General features: G+C 46.0%; 2 long non-coding RNA genes and 1 pseudogene across 3 annotated transcripts in view, besides 4 other annotated features; 1 reads left to right on the forward strand and 2 right to left on the reverse strand.

Moving 5' to 3' along the window:
* The window catches only part of CYP4A22-AS1 (CYP4A22 antisense RNA 1), an 84,084-nt gene extending 68,575 nt beyond the window's left edge, over positions 1–15,509 (reverse strand). The window contains exons 1-5 of one of the 2 annotated variants that reach the window (NR_189276.1): positions 15,076–15,509; positions 14,057–14,335; positions 12,814–12,955; positions 10,440–10,510; positions 8,735–8,922 (exon numbers count right to left, since the gene is read on the reverse strand). This is a non-coding gene — a long non-coding RNA (CYP4A22 antisense RNA 1). Of the gene's footprint in view, positions 1–8,734; positions 8,923–10,439; positions 10,511–12,813; positions 12,956–14,010; positions 14,336–15,075 lie in introns of both variants that reach the window. The other variant, NR_199717.1, reaches the window with a different exon arrangement.
* MTND1P34 (MT-ND1 pseudogene 34) lies at positions 378–1,758 on the reverse strand (annotated as a pseudogene).
* Positions 9,763–10,057: a silencer, noted in NCBI's record as "tiled region #13342; HepG2 Repressive non-DNase unmatched - State 12:CtcfO". NCBI's record gives its function as "represses a minimal TATA promoter and a strong SV40 promoter by Sharpr-MPRA in HepG2 cells {active_cell/tissue: HepG2}" and the evidence as "EXISTENCE:reporter gene assay evidence [ECO:0000049][PMID:27701403]".
* Positions 15,007–15,508: an enhancer, noted in NCBI's record as "H3K4me1 hESC enhancer chr1:47644793-47645294 (GRCh37/hg19 assembly coordinates)". NCBI's record gives its function as "activates a minimal SCP1, AML or CMV promoter by ChIP-STARR-seq in primed H9 embryonic stem cells {active_cell/tissue: H9 hESC(primed)}" and the evidence as "EXISTENCE:reporter gene assay evidence [ECO:0000049][PMID:30033119]".
* On the forward strand, positions 15,136–16,225 carry LINC00853 (long intergenic non-protein coding RNA 853). Its single transcript, NR_047498.1, has 2 exons — positions 15,136–15,324; positions 15,754–16,225. It is a non-coding gene; the product is annotated as a long intergenic non-protein coding RNA 853 (long non-coding RNA).
* Positions 17,134–17,278: an enhancer, noted in NCBI's record as "145 bp enhancer 229 fragment used in the MPRA reporter construct; PK_construct_4263". NCBI's record gives its function as "activates an SV40 promoter by MPRA in K562 cells {active_cell/tissue: K562}" and the evidence as "EXISTENCE:reporter gene assay evidence [ECO:0000049][PMID:23512712]".
* Positions 17,197–17,214: a transcriptional cis regulatory region, noted in NCBI's record as "GATA motif; enhancer activity is reduced when this motif is scrambled". NCBI's record gives its function as "necessary for full MPRA enhancer 229 activity {active_cell/tissue: K562}" and the evidence as "EXISTENCE:site-directed mutagenesis evidence [ECO:0005528][PMID:23512712]".

Genomic DNA, 18,200 nt, shown 5'->3' on the forward strand with positions numbered 1-18,200 from the left:
AGCATCTTCAAATCTCTCCCTGCTCCATCTTTGCATGGCCTTCCCTGTGTGTGTCGTATCTCCTTCTACATTTAGTGCTCACCTTGATAATCCAGCATAATCTCCCCATGTTGATTCTTAACATCATCACCTCTGCTAAGACTCTTCCAAAAAAAGATATCATTTACAGGTTCTATAGATTAGAACTTGATATCTTTCAAGGTCATTATCCAGCATATTATAGTCTTCCTACTGATCCTTGAAGATGGCCCTCCCCCACCAAAATGTGTTTGCCTTATCCCAACATTCCAAAAGCCTCAACCCATTACAGCATCAGCTCAAGTGTAAAATCTTGTCCAACTACCATTAGCTTAAAACTAGCTTAAAACTCATTTTCATGTTTGTAGTGGAATAGTTCATGATACAATGAAGATTGAAATGTGACATACGTAGGGCTAAGTTAAGTGGTAGTAAAGTCTTTGATAGGAAATGAAGGCATTGGCCATAATAAAATACTGGGTATGAAGTTCATACTCATAGAAATAAAATAGTAAGCAGTAAAGTCTTAATAATAAAAGTTATTGTCTAAATTTCTGGAATATGGTTCCTAAAAATAAAATTAATGTAGGAGTATTTATCATGATGATATTTAGCATACTCAGCAAAGAATAGGCAAATGGTCCTGCTGCATATTTAACATTAAAGCCTGACACAAGTTATCATTCTCCTTCAGTTAGGATGAATGAAGCACTCCAGTTCTTTCCTTCCTTCCTTTCTCCTTTCCTTTCTTTCTCTCTCTCTCCCTTTGTTTTCTCTTTTTTTTTTTTTTTGGAGTTTCACTTTTGTTGCCCAGGCTGGAGTGCAATGGCATGATCTCAGCTCACTGCAACCTCCAACTCCCGGGTTCAAGTGATTCTCCTCCCTCAGCCTCCTGAGTAGCTGTAATTACAGGCACCTGCCACCACACCTGGCTAATTTTTGTATTTTTTGTAGAGATAGGGTCTCACCATGTTGGCCAGGCTGGTCTTGAACTCCCAAACTCAAGTGATCCACCCGCCTCAGCCACCCAAAGTGCTGGGATTACAGGTGTGAGCCACTGTGCCCAGCCCCAGTTTTTTGTTGTTGTTGTTTTGTTTGTTTGTTTTTGTTTGAGATGGAGCCTCACTCTGTCTCCCAGGCTGGAGTGCAGTGGCGCGATCTCAGCTCACTGCAACCTCCACTTCCTGGGTTCAAGTGATTCTCCTGCCTCAGCCTCCTGAGTAGCTGGGATTACAAGCATGCGCCACCATGCCCAGCTAACTTTTTGCATTTTTAGTAGAGATGGGTTTCACCATGTTAGCCAGGATGGTCTCGATCTCCTGACCTCGTGTTCTGCCCATCTCGGCCTCAAAAAGTGCTGAGATTACAGGCGTGAGCCATAGCGCCCAGTCCAGTTGTTTCTTGTAAATGTTAATCTTTTTAAATTTAAAGTTTAAGTTCTGTGATGGTAAGTGGCCATGATGGGAAAATTAATCATAAATACCCTTAGTTAATTATAAGAGTAGAGAGTGTAAATGATCCACTTATTCATATAACTGATTGTAACGTAATTACTAAACTTCCTTCGAATGAAATTGTGCTGCTGCTCCTCATGTGTATACTTAAGAAGGCATGTTTTGAACTTGAAGTTCATCCTGAACTTAGCATGGAGTATAAAGCTAGGCTTGAAACTGATAAAATAAATAATGTCCCCAAGTTTATAATAATTAATGGATATGGCATAGATAAGGGAATTCATATTTTTAATGTTAAGGTAAGAGATTGAATTCATGCAAAGATAAATATTAATATAGAGGTGGAGCCAAGATGGCCAAATAGGAACAGCTCCAGTCTACAGCTCCCAGCGTGAGTGATGCAGAAGACGGGTGATTTCTGCATTTCCAACTGAGGTATCACGTTCATCTCACTGGGGAGTGTCTGAAAGTGGGTGCAGGACAGTGGGTGCAGCGCACCAAGTGTGAGCCGAAGCAGGGCGAGGCATCGCCTCACCCGGGAAGCGCAAGGGATCAGGGAATTCCCTTTCCTAGTCAAAGAAAGGGGTGACCAGATGGCACCTGGAAAACCGGGTCACTCCCATCCTAATACTGCGCTTTTCCAATGGTCTTAGCAAACGGCACAACAGGAGATTATATCCTGCGCCTGGCTCGGAGGGTCCTACACCCACAGAGCCTTGCTCATTGCTAGCACAGCAGTCTGAGATCAAGCTGCAAGGCAGCAGTGAGGCTGGGGGAGGGGCGCCCACCGTTGCCGAGGCTTGAGTAGGTAAACAAAGCAGCCGGGAAGCTCCAACTAGGTGGAGCCCACTGCAGCTCAAGGAGGTCTGCCTGCCTCTGTAGACTCCACCTCTAGGGGGAGGACATAGCCAAACAAAAGGCAGCAGAATCCTCTGCAGACTTAAATGTCCCTGTCTGACAGCTTTGAAGAGAGTAGTGGTTCTCCCAGCACGCAGCTGGAGATCTGAGAATGGACCCTCTTCAAGTGGGTCCCTGACCCCCAAGTAGCCTAACTGGTAGGCACCCCCAAGTAGGGGCAAACTGACACCTCACATGGCCAGGTAATCCTCTGAGACAAAACTTCCAGAGGAATGATCATGCAGCAACATTTGCTGCTCACCAATATCTGCTGTTCTGCAGCCTCCACTGCTGATATCCAGGCAAACAGGCTCTGGAGTGGACCTCCAGCAAACTCCAACAGACTTGCAGCTGAGGGTCCTGACTGTTAGAAGGAAAACTAACAAACAGAAAGGACATCCACACCAAAACCCCATCTGTACGTCACCATCATCAAAGACCAAAGGTAGATAAAACCAAAAGATGCGGAAAAACCAGAGCAGCAAAACTGGAAACTCTAAAAATCAGAGCACCTCTCCTCCTCCAAAGGAACGCAGCTCCTCACTAGCAATGGAACAAAGCTGGATGGAGAATGACTTTGATGAGTTGAGAGAAGAAGGCTACAGATGATGAAACTACTCCGAGCTAAAGGAAGAAGTTCGAACCCATGGCAAAGAAGTTAAAAACCTTGAAAAAAATTAGATGAATGGCTAACTAGAATAACCAATGAGAGAAGTCCTTAAAGGACCTGATGGAGCTGAAAACCAAGGCACAAGAACTACATGACGAATGCACAAGCCTCAGTAGCCAATTCAATCAACTGGAAGAAAGGGTATCAGTGATGGAAGATCAAATTAATGAAATGAAATGACGAGAGAAGTTTAGAGAAAAAAGAATAAAAAGAAACAAAAAAAGCCTCCAAGAAATATGGGACTCTGTGAAAAGACCAAATCTACGTCTGATTGGTGTACCTGAAAGTGACGGGGAGAATGGAACCAAGTTGGAAAACATTCTGCAGGATATTATCCAGGAGAACTTCCCCAATCTAGCAAAGCAGGCCAACATTCAAATTCAGGAAATACAGAGAATGCCACAAAGATACTCCTCGAGAAGAGCAACTCCAAGACACATAATTGTCAGATTCACTAAAGTTGAAATGAAGGAAAAAATGTTAATGGCAGCCAGAGAGAAAGGTCAGGTTACCCACAAAGGGAAGCCCATCAGACTAACAGCTGATCTCTTGGCAGTAACTCTACAAGCCAGAAGAGAGTGGGGGCCAATATTCAACATTCTTAAAGAAAAGAATTTTCAACCCAGAATTTCATATCCAGCCAAACTAAGCTTCATAAGTGAAGGAGAAATAAAATACTTTACAGACAAGCAAATGCTGAGAGATTTTGTCACCACCAGGCCTCACCTAAAAGAGCTCCTGAAGGAAGCACTAAACATGGAAAGGAACAACCGGTACCAGCCACTGCAAAAACATGCCAATTTGTAAAGACCATCGAGGCTAGGAAGAAACTGCATCAACTAACAAGCAAAATAACCAGCTAACATCATAATGACAGGATCAAATTCACACATAACAATATTAACCTTAAATGTAATGGGCTAAATGTCCCAATTAAAAGACACAGACTGTCAAATTGGATAAAGAGTCAAGACCCATCAGTGTGCTGTATTCAGGAAACCCATCTCACGTGCAGAGACACACATAGGTTCAAAATAAAGGGATGGAGGAAGATCTACCAAGCAAATGGAAAGCAAAAAAATGCAGGGGTCGCAATCCTAGTCTCTGATAAAACAGACTTTAAACCAACAAAGATCAAAAGAGACAAAGAAGGCCATTACATAATGGTAAAGGGATCAATTCAACAAGAAGAACTAACTATCCTAAATATATATGCACCCAATACAGGAGCACCCAGATTCATAAAGCAAGTCCTTAGAGACCTACAAAGAGACTTAGATTCCCACACAATAATAATGGGAGACTTTAACACCCCACTGTCAACATTAGACACATCAACGAGACAGAAAGTTAATGAGGATATCCAGGATTGAACTCAGCTCTGCACCAAGTGGTTCTAATAGACATCTACAGAACTCTCCACCCCAAATCAACAGAATATACATTCTTCACAGCACCACACCACACTTATTCCAAAATTGACCACATAGTTGGAAGTAAAGCACTCCTCAGCAAATGTAAAAGAACAGAAATTATAACAAACTGTCTCTCAGACCACAGTGCAATCAAACTAGAACTCAGAATTAAGAAACTCATTCAAAACCGCTCAGCTACATGGAAACTGAACAACCTGCTCCTGAATGACTACTGGGTACATAACGAAATGAAGGCAGAAATAAAGATGTTCTTTGAAACCAACGAGAACAAAGACACAACATATCGGAATCTCTGGGACACATTCAAAGCAGTGTGTAGAGGGAAATTTATAGCAATAAATGCCCACAAGAGAAAGCAGGAAAGATCTAAAATTGACACCCTAACATCACAATTAAAAGAACTAGAGAAGCAAGAGCAAACACATTCAAAAGCTAGCAGAAGGCAAGAAATAACTAAGATCAGAGCAGAACTGAAGGAAATAGAGATACAAAAAAACCCTTCAAAAAATCAATGAATCCAGGAGCTGGTTTCTTGAAAAGATCAACAAAATTGATAGACCGCTAGCAAGACTAATAAAGAAGAAAAGAGAGAAAAATCAAATAGACGCAATAAAAAATGATAAAGGGGATATCACCACCGATCCCACAGAAATACAAACTACCATCAGAGAATACTATAAACACCCCTATGAAAATAAACTAGAAAATCTAGAAGAAATGGGTAAATTCCTGGACACATACACCCACCCAAGACTAAACCATGAAGAAGCTGAATCTCTGAATAGACCAATAACAGGCTCTGAAATTGAGGCAATAATTAATAGCTTACCAACCAAAAAAAGTCCAAGACCAGATGGATTCACAGCCAAATTCTACCAGAGGTACAAGGAGGAGCTGGTACCATTCCTTCTGAAACTATTCCAATCGATAGAAAAAGAGGGAATCCTCCCTAACTCATTTTATGAGGCCAGCATCATCCTGATACTAAAGCCTGGCAGAGACACAACAAAAAAAAGAGAATTTTAGACCAATATCCCTGATGAACATCGATGCAAAAATCCTCAATAAAATACTGGCAAACAGAATCTAGCAGCACATCAAAAAGCTTATCCACCATGATCAAGTGGGCTTCATCCCTGGGATGCAAGGATGGTTCAACATACGCAAATCAATAAACATAATCCAGCATATAAACAGAACCAACGACAAAACCATATGATTATCTCAATAGATGCAGAAAAGGCCTTTGACAAAATTCAACAACGCTTCATGCTAAAACCTCTCAATAAATTAGGTATTGATGGGACGTATCTCAAAATATTAAAAGCTGTTTATGACAAACCCACAGCCAATATCATACTGAATGGGCAAAACCTGGAAGCATTCCCTTTGAAAACTGGCACAAGACAGGGATGCCCTCTCTCAGCACTCCTATTTAACATAGTGTTGGAAGTTCTGGCCAGGGCAATCAGGCAGGAGAAGGAAATAAAGGGTATTCAATTAGGAAAAGAGGATGTCAAATTGTCCCTGTTTGCAGATGACATGACTGTATATTGAGAAAACCCCATCGTCTCAGCCCAAAATCTCCTTAAGCTAATAGGCAACTTCAGCAAAGTCTCAGGATACAAAATCAATGTGCGAAAATCACAAGCATTCTTGTACACCAATAACAGACAAACAGAGAGCCAAATCATGAGTGAACTCCCATTCACAATTGCTTCAAAGAGAATAAAATACCTAGGAATCCAAATTACAAGGGATGTGAAGGACCTCTTCAAGGGGAACTACAAACCACTGCTCAATGAAATAAAAGAGGATACAAACAAATGGAAGAATATTCCATGCTCATGGGTAGGAAGAATCAATATCGTGAAAATGGCCATACTGCCCAAGGTAATTTATAGATTCAATACCATCCCCATCAAGCTACCAATGACTTTCTTCACAGAATTGGAAAAAACTACTTTAAAGTTCATATGGAACCAAAAAACAGCCCACATTGCCAAGTCAATCCTAAGCCAAAAGAATAAAGCTGGAGGCATCATGCTACCTGACTTCAAACTATACTACAAGGCTGTAATAACCAAAACAGCATGGTACTGGTACCAAAACAGAGATATAGACCAATGGAACAGAACAGAGCCCTCAGAAATAATGCCACATATCTACAACCATCTGATCTTTGACAAACCTGACAAAAACAAGAAATGGGGAAAGGATTCCCTATTTAATAAATGGTGCTGGGAAAACTGGCTAGCCATATGTAGAAAGCTGAAACTGGATCCCTTCCTTACACCTTATACAAAAATTAATTCAAGATGGATTAAAGACTTAAACGTTAGACCTAAAACCATAAAAACCCTAAAAGAAAACCTAGGCAATACCATTCAGGACATAGGCATGGGCAAGGACTTCAATGTCTAAAACACCAAAAGCAATGGCAACAAAAGCCAAAATTGACAAATGGGATCTTATTAAATGAAAGAGCTTCTGCACAGCAAAAGAAACTACCATCAGAGTGAAAAGGCAACCTACAAAATGGGAGAAAATTTTTGCAATCTACTCATCTGACAAAGTGCTATATCCAGAATCTACAATGAACTCAAACAAATTTACAAGAAAAAAACAAACAACCCCATCAAAAAGTGGGCAAAGGATATGAACAGACACTTCTCAAAAGAAGACATTTAGGCAGCCAACAGACACATGAAAAAATGCTCATCATCCCTGGCCATCAGAGAAATGCAATTCAAAAGCACAATGAGATACCATCTCACACCAGTTAGAATGGCAATCATTAAAAAGTCAGGAAACAACAGGTGCTGGAGAGGATGTGGAGAAATAGGAACACTTTTACACTGTTGGTGGGACTGTAAACTAGTTCATCCATTGTGGAAGACAGTGTGGTGATTCCTCAAGGATCTAGAAGTAGAAATACCATTTGACCCAGCCATCCCATTACTGGGTATATACCCAAAGGATTATAAATCATGCTGCTATAAAGACACATGCACACGTATGTTTATTGCAGCACTATTCACAATAGCAAAGACTTGGAACCAACCCAAATGTCCAACAATGATAGACTGGATTAAGAAAATGTGGCACATATACACCAGGGAATACTATGCAGCCATAAAAAAGGATGAGTTCATGTCCTTTGTAGGAACACGGATGAAGCTGGAAACCATCATTCTCAGCAAACTATCACAAGGACAAAAAACCAAACACCGCATGTTCTCACTCATAGGTGGGAATTGAACAGTGAGAACACATGGACACAGGAAGGGGAACATCACACACCGGGGCCTGTTGTGGGGTGGGGGGAGGGGGGAGGGATAGCATTAGGAGATATACCTAATGTTAAATGACGAGTTAATGGGTGCAGCACACGAACATGGCACATGTATACGTATGTAACTAACCTGCACGTTGTGCACATGTACCCTAAAACTTAAACTATAATAAAAAATATATGTATATATATATAAATAAATTAAAAATAAAATAAAAATTACAGAATTCCCATTTCACTCTTTTTATAGATGGAACTCTTTGATGAGATGCTCCATCTTTCTCTCTATTTTCTAAAACATATTAATCATGGCTATTTTAATATTTCTGTCTGAATACTCAATATCTGTTTCTCCTATGGGATTATTTCTGTTGTCTGCTTTGGTTTTTCTTTGGCTTTTGGTGAATGGGTCATCATGCCTACTGATTTCTTATTAAATGCTGAGCATTGTGTGTGAGAGATCATAGAGACTCTGGTTGGTGTTACCTTTAGCTAAAGAGGGTCAAGTTATCTTCTGGCAGTCACACAGAATACTGTCAGAGCCCCACAGTGTGGTCCATAGGACGTAGGCAGTTTGGACACAGGATTTCCTTTTGATGTTTGCAAATTGCTTTGCTTTACAGTAGTTGTAATTATACTGTACATTTATTTTGTTCAATTTCTCTCTATGTCACAGCCCAAACAAGCACTAAAAGGCACCCATAGAGGTTGGAGTTTCAGGCATATGTAAGGAAAAGGGCCAGTAGACACTGATGAGCATTTTTGTGATGTGATTTTCATCTCTTTCCAGGACAAATGGAAGAAGACCATTGCTGATGCACATCTGAAATCTTCTGAACACATTTCCCAGTGACCCCGAACACTATTATGAAGTATACCTTCAGTCACAAGGTAGTCATTCAGGCTGCTCTCACAAAATACCACAGAATGGATCACTTATAAGCAACAGAAATGTAGTACTCACAGTTCTGGAGGCTGGACATCTGAGATGAGGGTGCAGCATGGTCAGGTGCTGGTGAGGGCTCTCTTCAGCATAGTATTCACAGTTCTGGAGGCTGAACGTCTAAGATGAGGGTGCAGCATGGTCAGGTTGGTCAGGTGCTGATGAGGGCTCTCTTCAGCATAGTACTCACAGTTCTGGAGGCTGGATGTCTGAAATTAGGGTGCAGCGTGGTCAGGTGCTGGTGAGGGCTCTCTTCGGGGCTGCAGACTGCTGTCCTCTCGCTGTGTCCTCACACGGCAGAAAGAGAGCAAGAGAGCTTGCTGGGGTCCCTTTTATAAGGGCACTAATCTCATTCATGAGGGCTCCATCCTCATGACCTAATTTTTTCCAAAAGGCCCCACCTTCTAATAACATCACACTGGGGGCTAAGATTTAAACACATGAATTTGAGGGGGACACATACATTCAGTCTATAACACCAGGGCAGTGCCCAAGTGAACAGGTTATGAGTAAAGGACAAGAAGTAAACTCATTCGCCACCAGTCATTTCATCCGTTAGTATGCTGCTCCACCTCTTCTCTTCCGGAACCCTTAGACTCCTGCCCAGAAGTGGTGTCTAACATTACCAAACTCATCCACCCTTGCCAGAATACTTTCCTGCATCACAACGACCTGGTTTACAAATTCAGCCATCAGAGCTTCCATTTTAATAAAGATTGCCAGGTCGCCATGACCACACAGTTTTGTCTTGGGCTTTGCATTGCCTGAGACCTCTATAAAACAACCAACTGCCTAAGACACAAACCCTGGTGATGGGTGCTTTCACTGTGGTGGTTGGACAAAATACGGCATAGAGATAGTCCTCAAGAAATGAATGGTAGCTGAACTTGAGGCAGGGCAAGGCCAGTTCTAGCATCCCGAACACCTGACTTCTAGCCAGGGTTCTATCTGCCCTCACATCTCCCCAAGGATCCATCAATGGCCACTCCACTCAGACCCCCAGCCTGGGCAGACTCCCCTCTATGCACTGGTAATGGGGGAGTTCCTGGTCCAGTATTGATCTTCTCATCAGTTTTCACATTCAGTCCATAACACCAGGGCAGTGCCCAACTGAACAGGTAAAGGACAAAAAGTAAACTTCACATTCATGGGACGATCAATGCTGAACCAGTAACTATATAAGTTCTGCCATCTTGTGGCTGTTCAAGATATTGCAAGCAGGCCGGGCGCGGTGGTTCACATCTGTAATCCCAGCATTTTGGGAGGCCAAGGGGGGGCGGATCACAAGGTCAGGAGTTCCAGACCAGCCTGGCCAACACAGTGAAACCCCATCTCTACTAAAAATACAAAAATTAGCCGGGCATAGTGCCGTGCGCCTGTAATCCCAGCTACTCGGGAAGCTGAGGCAGGAGAATTGCTTGAACCCGGGAGGCGGAGGTTGCGGTGAGCAGAGATCGCACCACTGCACTCCAGCCTGGGTGACAGAGAAAGACTTCATCTCAAAAAAAAAAAAAAAAAAAAGATATTGCAACCAATACAGAGAACAGGAACTGGTATTACATATGGAGAAAGCAATAAACTTTGGGAACAAGTTTTTGGAAAGTGTTCAGCCTCTGTTAGTCCACCATCACCCCCACGCCCCTCCACACACACTGTTTACACTGTGGTGGAATTGATTAAGTGTAGATGGATTCAACCCTTAAGGAAAACAATAGAAAGCATGTACCTTACAAGAGCCTCGGAAATGCTCATATTCTTTGATAGAGTGATTGGATCTTCATCTCCTGAGAGTCGGTCCTATAAAAAATAGTCATTGCTTCAGGACATTGATGTAAGTGGCACAAGGACCAGGGTCAAGCAGGCAAAGACAGAGGCAGAGACTAGAGATCCATGAGGAGTGGCCAGAAACAAGTGCCCTTACCCCCAGCCCAAGCCAGGACAGGAACTGGACTAGAGTAAAAGAGGACCAGGAGCACAGCCAGCCAGGATGCTTGGTAGGGGTTCAGGGAAGGGGGAGGCTGAGCCTATGCTTTCCAGGCAGATGGGAGCCATCTGGGCTCAGCTGAACCATCAGCCAAGCCTGGGCTCACCCAGCCCAGCTGGGTTGCAAACTAAATCTAGACTCTAACCAAATTGCAGACTCTTTCTAGACCCTACCCTACCAAGTAAAGAATGACCTTTGAGAAGAGGTAAAACTATGTTTAAGACCCTCAGCTGGGTGAGGTAACAGGGGTGAACATAGAGTGGACAATGGCTAGTGGGCAATGGGAATGGGCAATGATTGACAGGCAGCTGGCTGTGCACGGCAACCATGGGTCTAAAGCATGCTAGGTCTTATGCTAGGGCTTTACATTGGATGGTCACCACAGATAAAAGGAGATCCTGAGACCCGGGGAGGCTAAGTGATGTAAGCAGCTGAGCTAGTATTGACTAACCCACATTCATTCATTCAGCAAACACTGAGTACTTGTTCAATGCAGGCACTATGCCAGTTTTCGTGGGGACATCCCGTCCTCCAAGAGCTGAGGGTGAGATGTAGTAAAAGATGTCAGGGAGACGCCCCGAAGACGGTGAGGCTAGCAGAAGGAAAAACATGAACAACACGGGCATGGAGATGTGTGGTGAGGGAGGGGAGGGGAGGCAGAAGTTCCAGCAGTAGTGTTGGCAGCACTGGAAAGGGAGAAGGAGGTGGAGTCATCTAGTGGCTGCTCGAGATATTGCAGGCAAGGAAAGGAAAATCACGATGGCTGTCATTCACTGAGCATACTGCATGCTTTCTTTACATCCATTTACTCTTCACCACAACCTCATAAGATGGGCCTCATTTTATCCCTAATTTGCATATTCAGTCCCTGATATACCCTCGTTGGGGTACATCCCACTAATATAAAATTGGCAGGATGGGATTTGCTCAGGGAAATTTGGCTTCAAGCTCATGCACATAGCCACTAGGCTACACCTGCCTTGAGTTTAGATTCCTCTCGCAGATGTGAATGGCTGTATTCCAGCAGGAAAGGTCTCCCTAGCTGCAGTGTAGAGGAAAACTTGGGGGTAAAAATAAAAACAAGGGAGCAGGCAGCTGCAAACATCAGGCAAGATCGAGGCTTGAACCTGGAGGGAGATGTGTTGGAAAGAACCTGGAGGGAGATATGTTGGAAAGTGAAACTCAGGGACTGAGGGAGAGGGGGATTCTGGGTGACTCCCCTATCTCTGGTCTGGGTGAATGGATGCCACTTACAGGAACAGAGGACTCAGGTTGGTGAAAGATCAAGAATTCCATTTTGGACCTGAGGTACCTGTGGAGCTGTGCAGGAGGGAGTGGAGCTGAAGGCGCTGATCTAGAAGTTGATACTTTACTGGAAGCAGTGTAACTGAGTGCAAGGGATAAGGTCTCCATGTCAACACATAGCTCTCGGAGACCTCCTATATTCCAGGACACTTGCACATTGCAATAAAGAGGTGTATGTGGTCTTTGCCTCACAAAGTTCAGAGTTCACAATCTTGTTCAGAGAGATGGGCGGCATGACCAGGGTGAGCCTGCAGGCTCACAGAAGCTTGATGAGCTGAGGGCAGGTGGTCAGGAACAGCTTCCCAGATAAAATGGTGATCATCCTATTATACTGAGAGCGGAAGAATCAGATAGACCATCTTACCTTTCAACAGGGAGCCGGACAATAGTGTTTTTGGTGACAACAGTCTCAGCAGAGTGTTGGGGAGAGCGACAAGGCTATAGGTGCTGAGTAGTGAGTGGGAAGGATGGAGGTGGACACAGCAAATGCCACCACTCCTCTTAGATGCTTGACAGGGTCCCTCCCCACTTTCCCACATGCATGTTTCCAAATGGACTGCATGCTCTGCAAAGGCAAACACTGTTGGCTTCTTTATCTCCCCATTTCACACACACACACACACACACACACACACACACACACACACACACCCCAAAGAGAACCCTATGCTGGGGTAGAATTTGCAATAGATTTAAAGTCAAAAGGCCAGGGTTCAATGCCACTAGCTGGCTATGTGACCTTGGGCAAATCACTTTTCTCTCTCTGAGTCTGCATTTTTTTCCTCTAAAACTTGGGCTCAGTTGTAATCACCTGGTAGGATCATTGTGAGGCTCCAATCAGAAAGTGTCTTACACATCATACAGTAGCCCTCAGATTCAATGTAGAAAACAGCACCAGCAAATGTAAATTAGTACAACCATTGTGGAAGACAGTGTGGTGATTCCTCAAAGACCTAGAACCAGAAATAGCATTTGACCTAGCAATCCCATTGCTGGGTGTGTACCCAAAGGAATAAATCATTATATTATAAAGATACATGTGGCTGGGTGTGGTTGCTCATGCCTGTAATCCCAGCACTTTGGGAAGCTCAGGAGGGTGGATCATCTGAGGATAGGAGTTCGAGACCAGCCTGAACAACATGGTAAAACCCCGTCTCTACTAAAAATACAAAAAAACAAAAAAATTAGCCGGGTGTGGTGGCAGGCACCTGTAGTCCCAGCTACTCGGGAGGCTGAGGCACGAGAATTGCTTGAACCCGGGAGGAGGAGGTTGCAGTGAGCAGAGATTGCACCATTGCACTCCAGCCTGGGTGAGGGAGTAAGACTCCATCTCAAAAAAAATAAAAAAATAATGATACATGCAAGCATATGTTCATTGCAGCACTATTCACAGTAGCAAAGACATGGAATCAACCCAAATGCCCATAAATGATAGACTAGATAAGGAAAATATGGTACATATATACCATGGAATACTATGCAGACATAAAAAGGAATGAGATCATGTACTTTGCAGGGACATGGATGGAGCTGGAGGCCATTATCCTCAGCAAAGTAACACAGGAACAGAAAACCAAACACTGCATACTCTCACTTAAAAGTGGGATCTTTTAAGTGAACAAAAAAGAGGGGAACAACATACAGTGGGGCCTGTTGGGGCAGGGGTGGGGAGAGCATCAGGATAAATAGCTAATGCATGCTGGGCTTAATATCTAGGTGATGGGTTGACAGTTGCAGCAAACCACCATGTTTTTACCTATGTAACAAACCTGTACATCCTGCACATGTAGCCTGGAACTTAAAATAAAATTAAATTAAAATTAAAAAGAAAACAGCACCACCACCATCAAGGAAAGCCTGTTCCCAACCTCCAATTCCAGCTCACTAGCTCAGCCTGTCTCATTCCCCTTTTTCTCTCTCCCCTCTCCTCCCTGCCCCTTTCCTCACTTTGCCCCCACCTGTCCTCACCATCCCACCCCATACCTCCAAGCTCACAGCTAGAACTGACCAAAGGCCCAGTTATTTATTTACAAAGTCCATGTCCAGAACTGTACCAGCCTCAGCGGTGTGGAATAAACTGGTGTGGCCAGGTCCATTGTGCTGATGCCTCAAGAGATCCAGGCTGGTACAGATGGGTCTGGCACATTCTGTACCTGCCAGCCAAGCAGAGCATCCAGCTTACTTCTCACTCGACTCCTTACATAACGCTCGTCGGGTACTCTCCATTCCTTGGGCTTAAATTCCATAGTGTAATATTAGTAAACCAGGCTAAATGATCCTAAGGATCTTGCTAGCTCTGACGCACCGTGATCTTGCATCCAATTCAGTTCACTCTGTAATAAATAATCATAATAACAATAGTAATTTTCCAAATAGCTAACAGTTATTGTGTACTGTATGCTAAGCACTATTCTATGTATTTCATGTGAATGTTTAACATTCATAACACCACTTATCATGTAGACATCATTTACTGCCCTAATTTACAGTGAACTGGAGCTCCGAGAGTCACGTTGATTTAACCACAGTCCCAGGCTACCAAGTGTCCAAGCTGTGCTGCTTCCAAGCTGCCTGACCCAGACCTGAGCTCTTAACCTCTCAATGGGCATCCAGGTCGAAAGCAGAATCTCTGGCTCAAGTGCCGACTGCCCAGCTGTTTCAGAACTCCACCATGCACCCAACTGCTCCTCCAGGACTTCCCTACGGATGTGTTGCAGGCTCTGAAACGTCACACATCCACGCCGCATCCTCATCCCACACATGCTCCTGCTTGTCCCTGGCATCTGCCATTCTCAGTGCCATTCACTAGCCTATATGATGCCTTCGAATCAGAGGAAGTTACCTCTCCCTCCAGGGATACGGGCCCACACCTGGTCTCAGGGACCCTTTAGTGGAGGCACAGTCTATATAGCCCAGAGCAGTGCCCCTGATGCCATCGTCTTCCAATTTGCTCAGAGCAGACACTGGGATTCATCCTTAATATCTCTCTCTTCTCTCTCTCTCTCTCTCTCTCTCTCTCGCGGAGGCCCCACTGCCCTTGCATTCCACAGGAAGTCCCAGTTGCTGGCATGACCTGAGAGGTTCCTGGGACCACGCCATGGAAATGCGTCCGGTCCCAGTGTGACGGGGAAGAGCCGCGCCTGAAGCTCAACTTCCGAGGCTCTCATCAATCTACGCTTCCTTTGGAGCGTGCAGCCACCAGGTGGCAGCCGAGGCCACGGGCAGACAGAAAAGCTCCCGAAACTGAAGGACTGCCAGGCAGCAGAGTTCCGGAGGGCTCCCAGGACCTTCAACCAGAAAGAGACAGAGCATATGCGCATATGTATGTCTGAGCCCGTGCACGGAGGAGGAGTATGAACAGACACCGCGGGACAGATGGCTGGAGTTTAGTCCCTTCCTTCGGGGCTCTTCACCACTCCTTGGGCTTCCCTTCTCCTGTCCAGCCCTGTCCTGGGTGCACAGAGAGGGAAGTCACTCCATTCCTGCCCTTGAGGAGCTCCCAGACCCAGGGCAGGAGCAGGATGCAGACAAGTAGACAGCACCCTGGGGTGGGTGGAGTGAGTGGGGCAGGTGGGGCGGGTGCAAAGAGAGGGAGGAGCAGGGGCTGAAGTTGCCCGGAGGAAGTGCTGAACCCAGGAGTGGGGAAAGGAGCATCTGGGAAGAAATGGCATCTACGCTGATCATGGAGGGCTTTCTGGCAAGTCTCAGGAGCAATAATAACACGGATGTCATCTCTGTTTCCTCCCAGCAGCCCTGCAAGGAATGTACTATAGAGCCAATTTTACCGGCAAAGGAATGGAAGATCTGAAAGGCTAGGCGATCCCACAAGCATCGAGGAGCAGGCTGGAATTTGAACCAATCGGCATGATTCCCAAGCTCAAGCTTTTGGCCACCCCTGCACTGCCAGGGACAAAAAAAAAAAAAAAAAAAAACCCTGGGAGGAGAGCCAAGCTAGGGAGTCAAGACCCTCCAGCCAGGTCTGGATGGGAGGCAGGTGCCTCCACCCTGGTCCCAGAGCAAGTTCTGCTGGCTTCAGCCACCTGACTTCCCTGTGAAGGTGGGTAGAGGCCAGAGCAGACTGTGTGTGATTCTGGCCCCAGCCCCAGCACCTCTACCCCCACCTTTACTACCCCTAGGCTGCGGGAAGAGGCTTTGCCCAGCAATAGTCCTGATCTAATGGATCCTTGAAGCACAATAAACAGATAGTATTTCTGCATGTGTCACTCTGAGTATGACGGCAGTAATCTTGAAACTCCCCTTGACCACCTGGCACTCTGGAGACGGAACTCCACAGCCTGTTTTCAAAGCCAACTCCTGGCTGGAAGTTCCTCTTCAAGTCTAAATGAAGTAAGCAGTGCTGCAGTCTTCCCTCAACTGTGCAGTTGCTGGGTGGAGGCTTTTCTTTTCTGCCTGAGTTTGGGTATAACCTATAATGTAACCCTATGAAACTTACATGTTTTAGGTGGGAGAGGGGAAAACAAGGTGCAAGCCCTGTTCCAGGAAGAGCAAAAATGTCCTCAACAGTAAGAGGACATTCTGGGCTGAGAGCCAGGGCTTGAGGCAGCCTGCAATCCTGGCAGATAGCTGGTGGAAGGGACCACAGAGAGATGATACCACACACAGAAGTGAGACCAATGAGATCGTGGGAACTGCCCGGCCAAGGGTTGACATCAAGGAAGCTTAGGAGGCAGGGGACAGCTGGGAAGGGGACAACCAAGAGAACCAGCTGGAAACTGAAAAGGGATGCAAGAGAGAAAGAGGAGGTGGGCACTGAGCTCAGGTGGAGGAGGAGAAAGGCAAACAGGAGAGAGAGAGGCAGAGGATGAGACAAAAACAGAGGTGGAGAGACTGAGAAACAGGGAGACAGAGATGGATGGAGGCTGGGAGAGACAAAGAGGAGACAGGCCTGGGCAGGAGAGGTCCTACGTGGGGAGAAAAGGTTGGGAAGAGAGCAGGAAAGAGAGAAGGAGCACAGGTGTCTGGAGGTTCCCACCAGGCCCAGCCCACCCCTCCTGCAGGCTGGGTCTCTCCCTTGTCTGCCAATCACGAAGCTCAGGATCCCCTCCCTCAGGGCTGGGGGTGGAGAGCTCGCCTCCAGCCCCGCCCTAGTCCAGAGGCTCCCCCTCCCCAGGCCCTGGGAGGCTGCCCCTGGGACTGGCTGTGCAGCGATAGATGGTGGGGGCCCAGCTGGTGCGTTATCAGCCTTCTCCAGGAGCGCGCCTGAGCCACTCCGTGGCTGCCAGTCTGAGATTAGGCCCCCGGAGGGTCATTAAGCGCCACCCTGGCCCGGGCCCAGCCTCCTTTCCCTCCCCGATCTGGCCAGGCTGGCAGGTGGGAATGAGCGATAAGGATTGGGGGTCTCAGCAGTTCTGGGGCCAGCAGCTCCCTGCTCCCAGCACTCCCCTCTGGATCAGGGCAGGAACATGGGGTGAGGGTGAAGGGCTGTAAGGTCAGTGCCGGCCCAGCCCCTGCAGGAGCCCCTAGGGTTCCCACTCTCCTAGATCTGCCCATATTGAGCAAGACAGAATGAGAAGGGGGCCAAGGAGGCTCTTGGAGAGGCCTCAGACAGCTGCTGGGGAGCAAGGTGAGCCCAGGCAGAAGCAGGCTTCTCCTGGCAAAACCTCACAGGTGTGAGGGGCTGGGATTCACTTGCTGCAGGGAGACAGGGATGGTGGCTCTGCCTTCTGGCCCTGGCAGGCTGGTGGAGTGACCTGACTCGAACCCACTCCCACCCCCCAGGGACAACTGAGGGCAGAGCTGGGAGGAAATGTGGCCTCGTGCAAGGAGAATCGGATCCGGCAGTCAGAAGCTTCCCACCAGGAGACAGGAAAGGAAGAGGGGACTGTTTGTGCCTTAGCAGAGGCCTGACCCTCTAGGAACCTCTGTCTCTCCTTCAGTGAGTGGAGAAGCTGGGCTGGCTGCTGGCCTGGCTTTGCCCTCTGGTCTAATCAAGGAAGACTTCCCAGAAGAGGAGGAACCTTGGTTGGGTCAAGAAAAAACAATGCGCAGAGTTTAAACTGGCAGAGGTGGGGTGAAAAGGCATGAGTCACAGGCAGCCACGTAAGCAAAAGCCTAGAGTAGAAATCACAAGCCACAGTTCATTAAGCCGAAGCCCAGAGAGGGGAGGTGACTTGTCTCAAGACACGCAGAAAAGCAAGGATAGGCCTGGAGCAAAGCCGCTGCTCCCCGACCCACAGG

This window comes from Homo sapiens, chromosome 1, assembly GCF_000001405.40.
Source record: "Homo sapiens chromosome 1, GRCh38.p14 Primary Assembly".
In the NCBI taxonomy this organism is placed as follows: domain Eukaryota; kingdom Metazoa; phylum Chordata; class Mammalia; order Primates; family Hominidae; genus Homo; species Homo sapiens.